The 17707-nt window shown below is 34.8% G+C and overlaps 1 protein-coding gene across 19 annotated transcripts in view; it reads right to left on the bottom strand.

Annotated features, from left to right (window-relative positions):
* Positions 1-17707, bottom strand: part of RASAL2 (RAS protein activator like 2) — a 384747-nt gene that overhangs the window by 88784 nt on the left and 278256 nt on the right. For 4 of the 19 annotated variants that reach the window (XM_017002854.2, XM_047434849.1, XM_017002855.2 and 1 more), the window contains exon 1: positions 760-16776. The exons of the other annotated variants lie outside the window; for them this stretch is intronic. In XM_017002854.2, coding sequence (XP_016858343.1) covers positions 760-781 — 22 coding nt within the window. In that variant the 5' untranslated portion in view covers positions 782-16776. Of the gene's footprint in view, positions 1-759; positions 16777-17707 lie in introns of those variants that run through there. 19 annotated transcript variants of the gene reach the window in all.

Raw genomic sequence — 17707 nt, 5'->3', positions numbered from 1 at the left:
AGAACCCCAAATTTAGGATCTTCCACTGAACTGTAAAGTTACTGGTTTTTCACAATAAACCAGCATGCTTTAAAGGTATATTACATTCTATCTCACATAATTTATCTATCTTTGAGGTGCTTAAACTATCAAGACACTAGAGAGACTTGGTCACAGTTAAGAATCTGCTTTAGTGTGACAGTTTATATTTTCATCTGTGCACATATAAAAATAATTTCCTCTGAGCTATGTTTAATATCTTTAAGTTCACTTAATAGTTGCATCTCACAGTATATAAATCTACTTCTCTACATGTCAGCAATGTAGGAGTTAATAGAATAAAATGGAATTTCTAATATTCTTCTGAACAAAATATAGTCTAATGTTGCATATGATTTGATGGTGTTTGCACAAAGGTCAAAGTTAGTTCTGTGCAGATAAGATGATTCACCAGACTGCAACAAAAGGGCCATGAGAAGACTGAAAGCTGCTGCCAAGATAAAATAACATATATGCCTATGCAGATATAAAAATAGATCAGCTTCTCCTTGTTCTGGCAATATGACCTTACTAAGATCTTACTCTGGAATCCTAAATCTGTTCAAACTAACCTAACAAGCTTAGGATTTTGCAGATAATGTGATCTTCTCCCATTTAATTACTATATACTGTATTAAGGCTACATTTTTAAGATTTTTTCATAGAGTGATATATATATACATGTGTATATATATATGCATACACACGCACACACAGATGATAGATATATACGTATTATACCTTTATCACAACTGCTTCCCATCGCCACTTCAACTGACAGACATAAAGGAATCCAGCTTCTCAGATAACATTAGATAATCTCAACATGGACAAGGAAAAAAAAGCCACATCCTAAAAAAAGTATTCTGTGTTATCTTCCAGATCTTAGAAAACAAGGAGTAAATCGTAACTCCGGAGACTGACATTTTGATTCCTGCTGTTCTCCCTTTAAAAGACAGATGCAGTTTAAACTTCCATTTCTGGCCTCCTGGCCCCTGGGATCCGTGCTACTTCCACTTAAGAGAGAGCGTTTTTTCTCTCGCTCCCTCTCTGTGTCTTGCTCTTCCCCCTCCCTCTCCACAGCTTGCAGAGAGCAAGCAAGAAAGAAATACACAGGACTGCAGCTATTCAATCAATCGTTCTGACTGCACATCCTCATTAGTTACTTTCAGGCTATTAACAGATGCCCAACCACTGCCTTCCCTCAGTTACTGAAAATTTCACTGTCTTACACTAATCTGCAGCAAGAAAAAACATTTACTGAAATGTATATCCACCTAGTGCCAAAAGGACACCATTTTACACAGATCCAGTAATGCACACAAATCAATTCCTCCTATGAAAATCCAACTGGAAGTGCTTACCCTTTTACTATCTTTGCATGCTGGACACTGATTTTCTTTTCCATGACTAAACATATCTTCTCTGTGACATCTTGACTGGTAAGGCACAAGCCAAATTGGAACATTCCTAAAGACTGAGAGGCTGACAACATAGCATCTTGTATGCTTGCAGTACAAGAGAGTTCCATACTACTACTGTATTTTAAAATTATGACCAGTAACTGTAAGTCCCTTAACTTCTCTCTAACCATCACTAGTCAAATGAGCCTTAATGTGCAAAGCTGTTCTCAGAATTAGGCACACATGACTTCTAATGCACATCGCTGAAAAATGGCAGCATAATTAGCTCAGATTCATGGGAATGGCACAAAGCACTGAATTTAAGTAAATCAGCTTGTTGGAGCACATTGAACAGAAAGACTTCCAGACTTCAGGAATATGACTTTACAGAGTAATTATCCAAGTTAGATGACTCTATGTGGCTAGGGGCAAGGCAGGCAGGGAATGGGGCTGGTGAAGGTAGAAAAAAAATCTCACCTTTCCTCTAATAATTACCTATAAAGGTAACCTCATATCAAATTAGAAGACACTGGAGATTTAATATTACAATATAGTATGTTTTAATTTCTGAATAATTGACAGAGAAACTAAATTGGGGGAAAAATAAATTTCATTAGCTGGGATAAAATGATCTAGTAAACCATTTCCTTAATTTGCAATGTTCTGGCTAAGGAAAAAAAACTGAAATTAATTTCCTCACTTTCTTCCATACATCCAATTTTAGTTTTCAGGCATACAAACTCATTAAATGAATATGTTTCAATGCTTTTAACTATTTGAAACTATATTGACTAAAATTAGTGGCCACATTTCAAACTCCAATAAATATGGTATTGTTATACTTCTGTTTTCTTTTCTCTTTTTTCCAACAATGATAGACTGGATTAAGAAAATGTGGCACATATACACCATGGGATACTATGCAGCCATAAAAAATGATGAGTTCATGTCCTTTGTAGGGACACGGATGAAACTGGAAACCATCATTCTCAGCAAACTATCGCAAGGACAAAAAACCAAACACTGCATGTTCTCACTCATAGGTGGGAACTGAACAATGAGAACACATGGACACAGGAAGGGGAACATCACACTCCGGGGACTGTTGTGGGGTAGGGGGAGGGGGGAAGGATAACATTAGGAGATATACCTAATGCTAAATGATGAATTAATGGGTGCAGCACACCAACATGGCACATGTATACATATGTAACAAACCTGCACATGGTGCACATGTACCCTAAAACTTAAAGTATAATAATAATAAAATTAAAAAAAAAATTCTCTTTCTGTATTATGGGAAAAAATACAATGCTGATGTAGCTTATATGATGTATTATCGGGTCCAGAAAGAAGATATTAAATCATTCCTGAAGTTTGAACAATTTCCACTAAAAAGGGGAAAGAAGGGGAAGAAATAAGGTAAAGCTAAATCACCTAATGAAAAGAAGTTTACACTTTGTTGCTTTCTCAACCCCCACAATAATACCACTCACCTGCTAGTGTAGAATAGGCCTTTGGAGAATCCCAGTTCTTTAGTTCTCAGAAGATTCATAACTACTTCAAAGCATACAGAAAAATAAATACCCCAAGTACCAATGTCCACTTAGAAGCAAGGTAGCAGCATTAGCAAGAGCGGAATGAGCAACCTGCTGGATTAGTCACAGAACGAACAGCATATTAAACTTGTGCCTTTAACTTTAAATCTGTAAGCAGAAAGGAAAGCTGCTACTATGCTCTAAGAGCTACATTTCTGCTCAGTTTGAAGGAAAATCTACACTAGTTCCAGTAGACCAAAATTAGACAGCTGTATCCTCTACCCCCACTCATGCTACATACTATTGCATTATTTTCACCTGCTGTAAAATTAATGTTCTTTTCATAGTTACAATATTTAATTACAGTCATTTTAAAATATGCTCATTCTCTGAGACTGATGAGACAAGAGAGATACAGTATTGTTTCAGATAAAGGCCTGAAACTGCCTCACTTTCTCATCTCTAAACATAATATTTTTCATCTTCAGATTGAAAGGCAAAAAGAGTTATAAAAAGCCTGGTTAAGTTTTAAATGTATCTCTTCATTTCCTTTGCCATTGGATATGACCTCAGATGATGTGATGACTTAAAATGATGAGAGATAACCTCCAATACAGCTCCATATAGAATGATGTATTGAACAAAGAGAACATCTGGATGTTTTTCTTAGCAGCTCTACCAATGATATGTACGATTCTGTGTAAGCCATTTCACCTTTTCTGTCCTGGTCTTCGCCATTTAATAAACTGGGTTATCCAGACCAAACAGAGATAAAGACAAGATTAATGAGTTTATATGCTTTGAGGCAAAATTAGCTTTCTGGAAGGAAGAATCTTTTAAAATCCAAAATAGAGTACTATCATTTCCTCAACATACACATATTCCTCTATGTCAACGCACTTTCTTTGGAAAGTGTGGCAAAGAAATTGAAAATTGGATAATTATAGGGGCAAATATACTTTTGGTGGAGGATGTTCCTGTTCAACAAACAGAAGTCAATTTCTGCCTTAGAACCTAATAGTGTATACACTGCCTTTGGTTCACTTACCAGGGAGTAAATGCCAAAAATTCCTATCATGTATTTGAGAGGACCCTAAGGAGTAAGTTAGAAGGTGACAAGTGTTTTAGGGGAAATAAAAAGTAGTCAGGGAGATGAATAGGTACAGTAATTTTCAATAGGTAGTTGCACTGCAAAGGTGAGGTGTGAGTCAATACTTTAGGAGGTAAGGAAGTCAGCCTTGCAGGTTTAACAGGGAAGAAGACTACAGGTAGAGGGAAGCTAGTACAAAGCTTCTAAGGTAAACCGCAACAAAGAGGCCAGTGGGATTGGTGCCAGTGAGTGGGAACAAATAGTAGGAGGTAAAGTCTGAGAGGAACTGGGGCAGACATGTTCAGATAATACTGGCCAATATAAGGACAGTGACAGAAGAAAATGTATATGCTAAGGAAATGACACTACAATACTACTATATTTTAAAGAACCCCTTTCTTCCAAAAAGCTAATTTTGCACCAAAACATATAAACTCATTAATCTTCTCTTGTAAGGACTTTTTTTTTTTAACTCTAAAATGAAAAACCACCTGGTCAGACATGCGTCACCAAAAGGTACAAATCGTATTGAAAGTCCATAGATATACACTTACTGGTATTTCTTAATGCTTTTCTTTTTCTTTCTTTTTTTTAAGACAGTCGCCCAGGCTGGAGTGCAGTGGTATGATCTGGGCTCACTACAAACTCCACCTCCGGGGTTCAAGTGATCCTCCCACCTCAGCCTCCTGAGTAGCTGGGACTATAAGTGTGTGCCACCATGCCTGTTTCTAGAAAGGGTATTTCACCATCTTACCCAGGCTAGTCTCTAACTCCTGGGCTCAAATGATCCACTCGCCTTGGCCTCCCAAAGTGCTAGGGTTACAGGCTTGAGCCAACTCCACCAGGTCAATTTTCTTTTCAGGATTTTGAATAATGAATGTGATACAGAATAAATCTGGAATGTTATTATGTTTGGAAAGAGAGTAAAGTGAAATGTCTATCATATTAACTGAGGGTTAGGTTCCAAAAGACTCCGAAAATATCTTAAATGAGAAAGGTATCTGCTACACAATGTCATTACTATACGGTCAAATATCTATAGGCATCAATTACATTTACTTTTTGTTCAATCTCGTTTAACCGAAGGTCATATGCCATATAATATTTGCATATACTTAACTATTATAAATAACATAAATTTCTTATAATGTCTATCATTTTTAGAATTAGTTACCATAGCGTAAAAAACAAGTAAAGATAATAATTTAAATTTTTTTTCTTTTAAAAGAGTTACATTATAAAAGCTATTTAAGCACCTCTTTGTGAATAATTTGTCTAGGGAAAATAGTTTTATTATAATTTTAGCTCATATTGAGTTTTTTTTTTGTGTGTGTGTGTGTGTTTTTTTTTTTTTGAGACATGGACTCAGTCTCCCAAGCTGGAGTGCAGTGGCACAATCTCAGCTCCTTGCAGCCTATACCTCCCATGTTCAAACGATCCTCCCACCTCAGCCTCCTGATTAGCTGGGACCACAGGTGCGTGCCACCACACCCAGCGAATTTTAGCTCATGTTGAGAATTTATGTGCTAAGTACTGGGCCTAGTATCTAACTTACTTAATCTTTGCTGTAGCCCCTGAGATAGTAACAATTATTACTCTCTCTGAGGATGGTGGCAAAATTTAAAAGGGAATAAAGTAAGTTCAGAGGAGGAAATTCAGCAGGAAAGGTAAATAAAATGTAGAAAGATATTTATAGCTTTAATTTGGTGAACAATTATATAAGAAACTAAAATATCATAGTAAAATTCTCAAGTTACAATAGAACAGAAAAATATTACATGTCACAGATGCAGTTTCTTTGGCATATACAGGATTCTAAGCACTTCATATTAATGGCAACCTGAACCAATTCTTAGTAATTTTTTGCACAGAATTATAAAACATGAATAAATGTAAATACTCTTTCAATTATAATTATTCACATGCCTCTTTAATAATTTTGATATTTGTAGGTAGGAAACAAGTTTCTAATGTTTTTCTCATAAAGTGAATTCTTCAGTTTACTTCAAAAGCCTTTTTAAAAATCAACATTTCAACAAAACATGATAAAACATTGAATACAAACCAAACTGTTTGTGTACCCATTCAAGTCACTGAAATTTTGGCATATATAGTGTTGCTATGAATGAGTCCACTTCACTATAATCTATTTTCCCTTGCATTTTGTAAATAATGACAACATTAAATAGGATGTGGTATGTTGGTGGCTCTAGTTATTAATGAATGAAATAAGCAAATAACTTCTCTCTCCATGCTGTGAATTCTGAATTAGGAGGGTTCTTCTTCCATAGGATGCACAGAAGACATTTAAGGCACAGAAGACATTTAAGAAACAGAATAGGAAGGATGAAATAGTAGGAGGAAATGGGTTTGTAGCTCTTCAGTAGAGGGGCTTTAATAACAAATGGCAAATTGTGAAACAAAAAAGGCTTTCATGAAAATAAGGTTTCATATTTTTTTGCTGGAGGACTCCTAAAGGTAATAGGAACTTAAAAGACAGAGTTAGAAAAATATTATAAAGAAAAAGTGACAAGAGCAAAGAGAAGAAAAATCACATACTGCATTTATACGGCTGCTAACACTATAGCACCTGGGTGTTTTTATAAACTTCATCCACCATTTTCAGTAGGATACTTTCTGCTGTATCCCACTTTTACTGCCTTAAAGCCTATGCACTGTCAGCCACAAGCATCCAGCTGCTCTGAAATACAAATCCCCAGAGCCACTTTAATTCACCCAATTTGTATCACTCAGACTGCAGTACTTCACTCAAACAAGTAGTCCTTTCAAGTTTGCATGCCCCACACACTCCAATATGTACAAATTGGTGCTAAGTACATAAATGTGGTAAATTCTCATAAAGTAAAGCCATCCAGTCTCCCCACCACTTCCTTGCTTCAGTAAATTTATTATTATTTTTAATATTTAATATTTCTTCTTGTTAACATAATAGAAAAACAATTTTTTTCCCCAGCCAAGGAATCTGAATACCACCCACAAGTATTCCATTTCTTCAACTTAGGGCTTCACATGACAATGTTGGATGAGATGGTAGAGAATACTTTTAGTGCAAACAACACTCTCAACTGAAAAGGCCAAGAAAATAGCTCAGGGATATTTATGTGTTATCTTAAGTTTCAGATAGAAAACACGTATCTAGTTCTTAGTGATGACAAGTGGGTATCTTAATGATGATGATGAAAACATAACAACGACAAGTACAAACATCAAACTGTCATGTTTGGTGCAAAAGTAATTGTGGCTTTTGCAACTTAAAAAATGTGAAACCACAATTACTTTTGCGCCAACCTTGTATTATGCCTTATTATTTGCTACATGTTTTACATAAGTTACATCTTTAATCCTCAAAACAACTCTTTGGAGGTGGAACTATCACCCATGTATTACTCTGCCCATGTTTGCACAGCTGGTAAAAAGGGTGGGGGCAGGATTAGAATCCATGCAGTTTGGCTTTAGAGACAGCTTTAATTGCCATGCATTCTATCCTGTTCTCCATGTGTTTTGTATAATGGGCTGCAATGGAGAAAAAAAATAAGATGAATGATCACAGAGACTCTAGTTTTCTTCATATTTTAAAGAGAATTAAGTCATACTCTTGAGGTGTTTTCTGCACACAAAACCTGTAAAGAACAACTCAATCCTTGAATGCTGATGCTGATAAAAACATTCTAGTCAAGAAACACAGAGAGGTGAGGCAAAACAATAACAAGGGACAAAAGTTTACTAACTTAATGACAAAAGTTAATGGTGAAAAAATGTGAACAAAACAGGAAACAACTTATAAAGAATATCTAATACTGATCCCTTGAACAAAAAAGTGACAAGAGCCCTCCAAAATAAACCATGTCTTTCAATGCCACTAATCTTCAGTATACCTATGTGGGGAGATAAGTACTTAGATAAGTTGTATGAGATGAACAGAGATAAAAAGCATTAATATTTTAGGTTTTGCAAAGAACAATTACTAAACAACAAAGCATTGTTCAGCATAAAATGACTATTTTGAACATGTCAGTCCAATTATTTATAATGTATTAACTTCAGTTTGGTATTTATAAGGTATCAACTTCAGTTTGGTGAGTTTTATTTTGTCATCAACTATCTCTTCTAATCTACAGATAGGGCCTAACACCTTTATTTAAACCTTTTCTGTAACTGATTTAATAATATATACTCATTATTAATATGCTTCATATATAACTTTTTCTGTAACTGATTTAGTAATATATTCTCATTGTTAATATGCTTCATGTACAATTGGGGGTATAATGGTAGATTTATTCATACCATCATTTTGGTAGTCAGTGAACATTAAAAAAAAGATTTAGTCTTGATTATGCCAGAGCCTCTGTTTGGGTTTTATTTCCCAAACAAATATTAATAGAGGACATTAAAAAAAGAAAACATACAAATATGTAAACCTGTAATATAAAGATGAAAATTTAATCATTTACCAAGAACTAAATATGCACATGACACTGTACAAAAACAAAATCATTTACACTCAACATCACCCATTAGTGAAGGTAATAAAAAAGAAAGGAGCCTATGATGTTGATTTGCCCCCCTTTAGCCAACACACACTGCTAAGTATCTCTTCGAAATGGCTGTTGGCTTCATTTTGTCTTATTTCCACTACCATCCACCATCCTAATCTAGGGCTTTTTATCTTCTCATGCAGATTATGGCAGGAAGCACCTAACTGCTCTTACTGACTCCAGTCTCTCCCTGCTTAAAGCTATCCTACTCATCATTACCAGATTAATCTCCCTAAAACATTACTTTCTGGATGAAATTTCCTTCCTAGAGATCTTTAGATAGTCAGACATTAGGAAAAAAATCACCTGGCCCTACTTTGCATATTTAGTCCTTTCTGCCAACAGTTTTCTACAATTTGCCTCAGTCAGATGATCTCTAATCTCAAACTGGCCACATTCATTCTCACATGCCTGCTTTTTTCACCTACATATCTGCCAACTCTTAGATGACCTTCAATATCAACTTCAATTCATCTACTTCCATAAAACCAGGCCTAATTACTCACATTTCTTTGATTTCCAATTAATACATTTATATAAGTTCATATTCTTTGATTATATGCGTTTTAGTTTTGGGTACCAAACTAAACTATATTCCTGACTAATACTGATACTAGTGTTCCATAATGGAGGTCTTAAGTCACTGCAAGATTGGAATCATCTTGTGATTGTGTCTAAATTTTTAAACAAATTTTAACCGGTAGAATTCTCTCTGTTTTAAGTATTTCTCTCACAATGTTTTTATAAACCATTTGCACCCATTCTTGCTTGTCTGCAGGGATTATTAAGATAGAATAAAAGATAATAAATAATGGCAAATATATTTTAACAACTAAAAAATAGTTAAGCATACTTTGTCTGGACACCTGCCCCTACCCCCACTCAATAGACACATGTGCTTATAATCATGACTCTATTAGGTACAGCCCTATAGAACTGCCTTTTTTTGGTAGATTAAAATGGTAAAATACCAGCAATTTCATATAGTTCAATTTAATACAAAATAAATTAATAAATTTTCTAGTTACCTCTAACTCACACATGGAATTAAATTCAACCAACTGGTTGAGTTTAGGACCACTCTCCTTTATGTATATTAAATTGTTATTTTTTCTTCTAATTTTTTTCTTTTTCTTTTGATCTCTCTATTAGTGACATGGCTATCACAGAAAAATTGAGATTATGATAAATAAGCCTCATGGGAAATTAGGTTTAAAAGTTTTGAGGATTTTCCTTCTATGCATCATTCTATTTAAAAAGGTCACAAATTGGCGGGGCACGGTGACTCACGCCTGTAATCCCAGCACTTTGGGGGCCCGAGGCGGGTGTATCACTTGAGTTCAGGAGTTCGAGACCAGCCTGGGCAACCTGGTGAGAAACCCCATCTCTACAAAAAATACAAAAATTAGCTGGGCGTGGCGGCGTGCGACTGCACCTGTCGTCCCAGCTACTACGGGTAGGGGGCGCTGAGGCTGGGAGGCAAGGCGCTGAGGTGGAAGAGGCAGGGCTTGACTGACAAGAGTGAGACCCTGTCTCAAATTAAGTCACAAATTTCCAAATTTTATTGAGAAGCACACTTAAACATAATTACATTTAAGTCTTGATATCTTATTCATTTTCTTTAGATATCTGTTCAGCTTAATTTCCTTTAGTTTTTAAATTATACATCCCCAAAAGGAAAATTTTTGCAAGAACATCTTCTGTTCTACACTTTTTCTGTTCTAAGGAAATCCCTAAACAAAGGATGTAAGACTTAAAAACTCTAAGGGAACCATGTCCACCTGTGAGACTCAATATGGATTCAATAGCCATACTGAGGTACTTTTTGCTTTTAAATTTAGATGCCAGAATGCTAATTTATTCACTTGCTATGAAAAACTGAATTATCACTGATTGGAAATATTAACGCAAGTGTGCTTTGACATTAATTATTTTTCTGAAGTCAAGCTGTATGAGAAATTAAACCATAATCAGTGGTAGATTTTAAACTACTGATTCCATTTCTCTCTCTCTTCTCTCTTCCTTTCTTCCCTTCCTTCCCTCCCCTCCCCTCCCCTTCCTTTCTCTCTGTCTCTCTCTCTCTTTCAAGACAGGGTCTTGCTCTGTCACTCCCAGTAAAGTGGCAGAATCACAGCTCACTGCCTCAAACTTCTGGTCTCAAGTGATCCTCCCAACTCAGCCTCCCCAGTAGCTGAGACTACAGGTGTGCTCCACTGTGTCTAGCCTCTGTTTCTTTAATGGTTACAGGTCACAGGCCTAATTACAGTTTTTTATTGCTTCTACAATTTTAAGTTACATTTTTCTTAAAATGTCCACTTGTCTAAATTTCCAAATATATTATCAAAAAGGTCTTTTTTATAATAGTCTATTTTTCAATTCTCTAATTTTCTATAATTATACCCTTTTTTCATGTCAACATTGTTTATATTTTCTCTTTTTAGCAAATCTTGTCGGTTTCATCTATTTTCATTAGGCTTTTTAAAGGAACAACTCTTGGCTTTATTGATTCTGTTTATTTCTATTTTCCATTTCATCATTATCTACTCTTATTTTCATTCTTTCTTTCCCTAAACTTTCTTTGGGTTTGTTATTATCTAACTTGTTGAGTTAAACGCTTAGCTCATTGATTTGTAGCTTTTGCCCTTTTCAATGTAAAAGACTACACATTTCATTTAAGAACTATTTTAGTGATATTCCACAAGTTTTGATATACACTATTTTCAGTATTGCTTAGTATTTTATAATTTCCATTATGTTTTCCTTTTTGACTAACAAGTTATTTGCAAGTAACTTTAAAAGACTGCAAAAATAAAGGTTTTTACAGTAAATTTTTGTTACTAATTTCTAACTTAGTTCAACTGTTATTAGAGAATGCAATCCGTATAACTTTGAAATTTGTTGAGATTTGTTTTATGACCTGGTCTATTGCCAGTTTTTATAAAGATTCTGTATGTGCTTGAGAAGACTAATTGTTGGAGTCAGGATTCTATATATGTCCATTAAATCAAGCTTACTGCATTTTTGAATATTCTCTATATCCTTACTAATTTTTATAGATAGGACTGTAGAATTATCCATTTCTGTCCATTTTTGCCAAATAAAATTTGAGGTTTTGTTATTGGGTACATGTAAGATTGTTATGTCTTCCTAGTGATTTTTATATTTTATCATTATTTAGGGACCTCCTTTATTCCAGTAACTTTTTTGATAGTCTTATTCTATTTCACTGGCTACACCAGCTTTCTTTTTCCAAGCCTTTACTTTTAACTTTCCTAGGTCCCTGTGTTTTAGATCTCTCATTCATAGCATTAAAAAAAATCCAGTCTGACAATATTTATCTTTTAACATTTTCATATATAATTTATGATATAATTGGATTTTATTTTTACCATCTTACTGTATTTTCTATTTTTTTCCCCATTTTTTTCTGATTTTCTTTTTTTTAAAATCAGGTTAATCAGGTTTAAAAAATTCCATTTTCTTCTGTATTGCTTTTGAAAATATTTTTTAATATTTTCAAATATTTCAATAAAAATACTCTATTTTTACTCTTCTAGTAGTTGTCCTTAACATTTTAACACGTATACTTAAAGCCTAAAGTTAATCACGATTTCTATCCTTTTCTCGAATAATTCAACAATCTTAAAATACTTCAATTCCAATTACCCACTTCCTATCTCTGACATATTAATGTTGTCCACTATTTCAGTTTTACCTTATCACGACTGTGATTATGAATTCTCAGGATGTTTTTCCCCCTCCCACCTCACCTACCAGTCCAGGTTAAGATAATTAAGATTTGTCTATATTTGTCAATGAGAGATTTTTCTAACTTCAACTCTCACTGAAGGTGTAACTCATTCAGAGGCCCAGTCCTATGGGGAAGAATGACATAGGCCTTTCAGTTCTAATTCTTTACTTTGTTAGACCCTTGGCCCATCTCCTATATTATAGCCATTAAAACTTAACTCTAATATTCTAAAATTGGTAAATGCCCCCAGGAGAGTTTACTGTCTAGATTTCGAGTTTTGTTTTGTTTTCTTTTTCCTCTTCCTGGGGACTTCCTTTCCTTCCTGAGAGTTCAGCCATTTAGTTAAAAGTGTTTGTTACACTAATGTGAAATTTCTAATTGTCTCTATATTATTTTTGAGGTTATCTAGTCTGGCATATTACCAGAAATTAGAGTTTCAATTTTTGAATATGTTTCTCCCTTGATGTTTGGTGTAAATTTTGGGAATCAGATAATAGTTGCCAATGCCAAATAATTAACTATAGTCAACAGAGTCATTTAGAAACTTAAAATGTTTAGGATTTGTCAAAATTACATTATTCTTTCATAGAACTATTCCATCACATAAATTACTTCACTCTATGAAGTAAAATGAAATCATTTAAATTCCATTTAGAAAAGGCAAAGTGGAAAAAAGTATACGCTGAGTATTTTCCTTCTTATTCTAGAATTTGGAAAACGCAATCATTATCTACTGAATAATAATTTCAAATGCTATCAAAGTACCTGAAAAGGTTATGGGACTACAGAATAGTAGTAGAATAAGAGGGAAAAAAAGCTGGATCTGACAGAATAATTTCAATAATTTTGAAAAGTCCCGAGTCTCAAATTTTTGGGTATCTGGATATCATTCATTCATTCAAAAAGTATCTACTAAGTACCTATTCGGTGCTATTCTGGAAGATGCCAAAATATTAAGAGAAGATCCTTATCTGGCAGTAGCAGGGAAGTATTTGATGGGCACACAAATAACAACATAAATGGGTACACAAATAGCTAACTCTGCAAGACTGGGTGTGATAAATGGCATAAGATTAATACAGTAGCTGTTATCTCCCCATCTTCCCTACATTCCATTGCTAAATCTCGGCATGTATATTTGGTTCCTGTATGAGTTTTTTCTTTCTCCCTTCAAAAGGTTAATCCTATGCTTTTAATTCTACTCTCACCTCCAAACCCATAAAATGTTTTGTTTTCTTAGTCTTTATTCTTGTAGGTTCAAGATCTTGCTCTCTCCTCCACTTAAAAATATGTACAAGTCTTCTCAATCTAGTTTTTAACAGGGTACATGTTTCTGTCAGTCACAGATTTCTTCAGGCAAAAGGCTTAACCTGTGGTTTCCACTATCTCACCTCCTACTGTCATTCTCAGTATTATAAAATCTGACTTCTCCCTCTTCAACTTTACTCAAATAGCATTAACACTTTCACAGGTTATCAACAGTCTCTTACATTGTCAAGCCTAGTGGTTTTTTTCTGACTTCTCTTTGGCTTTTGTAGCCACTGACACTACTGACCACATTGTTAACCTTTTCTACCTTAGCACCTGTAATACCACACCATCCTGGCTTTCCTCCCACATTTACGGTCATTCGCTCTGTGTCTCCTCTTTGTCTCCACCCACCCCCAAATGTTGATATTCTTCAAGTTTCAGCTGCTGCCCTCTCTTTTTTCTTGACAAGCTCTTGATAGCAGATGACCTACAGATGCTTAGAATATCAACAATCTTTCTTCTCTAGATGAACAGCTCCCACCTGTGACTTCATTTCCAATTACCAAAACTGTTTTTTCTGTCTGGATGTGGATTAGTCTTCTAAAAGTGAAAATACCTAAACAGAACTCCCATCTTCCTAAAAAATTGGCTCCCTTTCTCAATTTATTTCTGTTAATAGTACCACCATTCTTCCAAGTTCAAAAATTATCTTTGATTCATTTTGTTCCCCATTCCTCTAATATGTCACCAATTCTGCTGATACATTCTTTGTAATCTCTCCATCTATTTTAATCTGTTATTCACCTGAGCTACACAAACATTCATCTGCACAAGGAGTATTCCACGTGCTGAAAAGACAGAGGATTAAGCCCTCCTTGTGGAGGCATTCACAGTCTGGTTTTAATACACAAACCAACAATTATAATACACAGGGATAAAAAAAGTAGAGGCACTTATTGCATACCTGTACTACTGCAATAGCTTTCAAACTGATTTAACTGCTTCTAGCCTCTTCCCCTTTAGTATCACTTTCAGATGTCTTTCTAAAAAACTATTTTGATCATATCTTCTTCTTGCTCAAGGGTCTTTCATTCTTCTCTATGGCTTTCAGGATAAAATTGTCACTAGTCCTACATAGTGAGCTTCCAAATACCCTTCAAATGTTATCTCTCATTACTTCTTTACATGAATTCTGCGTTCTTTTCAAGACAGTTTGCTCACCGGATGTGAAATTATTTAATGTTCCTCAGGACACTGCTTTCATACAGAAAACCCTACCATTTCCATAAAAAATCTTTTAGGATTCAGATTAAACCCTATCTCTGTAAGATAATTTTCAATGTTTTTAAATGTCTCTTCTTCAAACTCCCAAAGCAATTTTTACCTGGATAATTTTACAATTAGGAACTGCCTTATTTTCATTTTCTCCACTGTCGTCTGAATTACCATTTAATTTTTCTCATTTAACTTGTGCGTAGTTCATGTTTTCTCCCTAGCCAAACACTATGCCTCTCACAAGCAGCTTTTTCTTATACTTCTCTGTATCCAGCCACAGCATCTAGCAGTGTCTAGAACATTGCATTTATTTATAAGAAAGTTTTGAAACAAGGGCAGAGTTTTAAAAAGCTGAATTTAGAAAGCTGAGTTTGAACACTGCTGACAGAAGAAACAAGGTAGGAAAGGGCAATATTTGTTCCAAGACAGGAAGTAAATCAATTTGGTTGGAAGGGAGGCTTGGGGATTTTCTCCTCTAAAATGAATAATAGAATGTCAGGTGTGAAAGGCCAAATTAAGTTTCACAGTAAGGTGTTTTAAATTTATCTGGTAGGTGATGAAGAAACCATGGAAGGTTTTTTAACAGATTAATAACAGTGCACAGTTGTATGAAGTTTCATCAAACTAGCAGTGAGCTACGTTATTGGGAAGGCCTGAACATCAGTTAGGTGGTTACTGTACAGAAGTAAGTAGTAGATCCTAACCAGCACAAAGTACTTTTCTTGCATCCCCCCTTCTGGAGGGAAATCTGCCTTAAAATTCCTTAGGCAAAGAAAGCATAATTTGATAGCTACCAAAAGACACAGTGTTTCTTGGTTCTACTCATCCTAGATTCACCATAAAGTAGATTTAGTTTTCTTGTTTTTCTCTTGGCATCTTCATTGGGAAAAGCATGTTGTCACTAATGGTAATTACATTAGCAAATGACTCAACACAAGGGTTTTACTTAATCCTCGAACTATCACAAGCTACATCTCAGATAGTTTTGTTCCTCATTCCTGTGGAGGAGCTCAGTAAAATTCCTGTTTATCCACAGATGGAGGTGTTTGCTGCCTATGGTCAGGAGAGAGCTTCAATCCTAAAAATAAGATTTGCTGACTTTCACAGCTTAGCACTGCCACAGCAGAGCATGGGATACATTGCTGTCTATTCACTCAGCAACTAAACTTATTGTAGCCCTTGAGCAGAATCAGGACTCTAACTTACCTGTTTTTATCTATAATCTGAAGCTTCCATTGGGTGGATAATCGGGAATTGACTACCCAGAAGTCAACATCATAATTTATGGAAATTTGCGTTTTTTTCTTCTAAGCAAGTTCTAACATTCTTTGTCTTTATTACCTCCATTTATCCATCTGTGGATAAATAGGAATTTACTAACTCCCTTAATCAGAGGACAGGAGCAGGGATGGGTGGGGGCACTACTATAGCACTTTTTATTTACTCATCTTTGTTAACCAAATTCATTTCAGGTATAGTAGGATAATGCCTTCCCCACAAAAACAGGAGATAAATAAATTTATCTTTAGGCTAGATAATTAGAATTCATAAAGGTATGCCAGAGCACAGAAAATATGTTTAATGATAACTCTGCCTTCCTTTCCCATGATGTAGTAGAGTCTAAGTGATTGGTTTTACTTAGGGATATCTGTATTTGTTTCTTCACTGATGTTTCTCTATGTGTATGTATGCATGTGTCAGGGGAGGGGAATGGGAAGCAAGTAGAATGAGATAGGCTTCAGAGAAACGAAGGCTTAAGAGGTATACATATTTCTTAAAGTCATCCAAATGCCGAAGATAAATAAGGCCATGGTAAATTAAGAGTCGGGTTAGTATCTAAATATATGTACCTAGGAAGACCTGATTAGGATGACCCTTTACATCTAAACTGCAAAAAAAAAAAAAAAGGAAAGAAACAGAATGCTAAGATTGACAACAGAATTGAAAGATAAACTTATGCTAACTATAAGAAAGATTTTCAAATAATAGTAGAGATAACTTTTGGACTGGCAGAAGACTATCCATAGGTCATACATAATATTCATGAGGAATAAATTAGAAAATTAGAAGATCAACTGAATTTTGTCCATTTATAATAAAGGCATACTTATATCTAGGAAAATAGAAGATAAATCAAATTTATAAGAAAGATAAATTTGAAGGCTATAATTAATCTAGGGAAAGTATTCACAAATAGGTTTTTAAATGAGTATCAAGCTCTTCTATCACATTTAAGATATGACTGGATTTACAACCTAACTTTCCTAATAATTTGTTTATTATATCAATAACCACAAGATAAACAATTGCTTTACTTAGAAATTTATTAGAAAGCATTCAAAAATGCAAAATTAAAGCAATGGGAGGTCCATGTGTCCTATTTTATGTAGTCAGTAGAAATCATATATAAGCATTACAAATATTTCACACCTTGCATAAAAGCTACTTCTCGATTTGTACATTGGCTTTTCATGCACACAAAGCCTACTCCCACTCTCACACAGCACACCTCACCATCACTGTATTGAGAGTAAAGTAAAACAATAATATTATTTTGGTTGGCAGAAGTTGTCTAAATACCATGAACAGCTGGCCAGATGACATGGTAAGCCTTGAATGGAGCTAGCACTCTTTGTTAAGGCAAAGCAATCTCTCTCTTATTTCTCATAGCTAGTGTTGGTGGCATTATTTCTACAGACAAACAAAATTTGAAAAGCAAACGACTTAAACATATTCCCTTAATTCCTCTTCTCCTTTTAAAAATACAAAAGTGGATTTAGAGAATTTGGGGTCCTATTCCCAAAAGTAAGAAAAGTTCAGAC

This window comes from Homo sapiens, chromosome 1 (genome assembly GCF_000001405.40).
Source record: "Homo sapiens chromosome 1, GRCh38.p14 Primary Assembly".
Classification (NCBI taxonomy): domain Eukaryota; kingdom Metazoa; phylum Chordata; class Mammalia; order Primates; family Hominidae; genus Homo; species Homo sapiens.
This window is presented reverse-complemented; position numbering and strand designations above follow the sequence as displayed.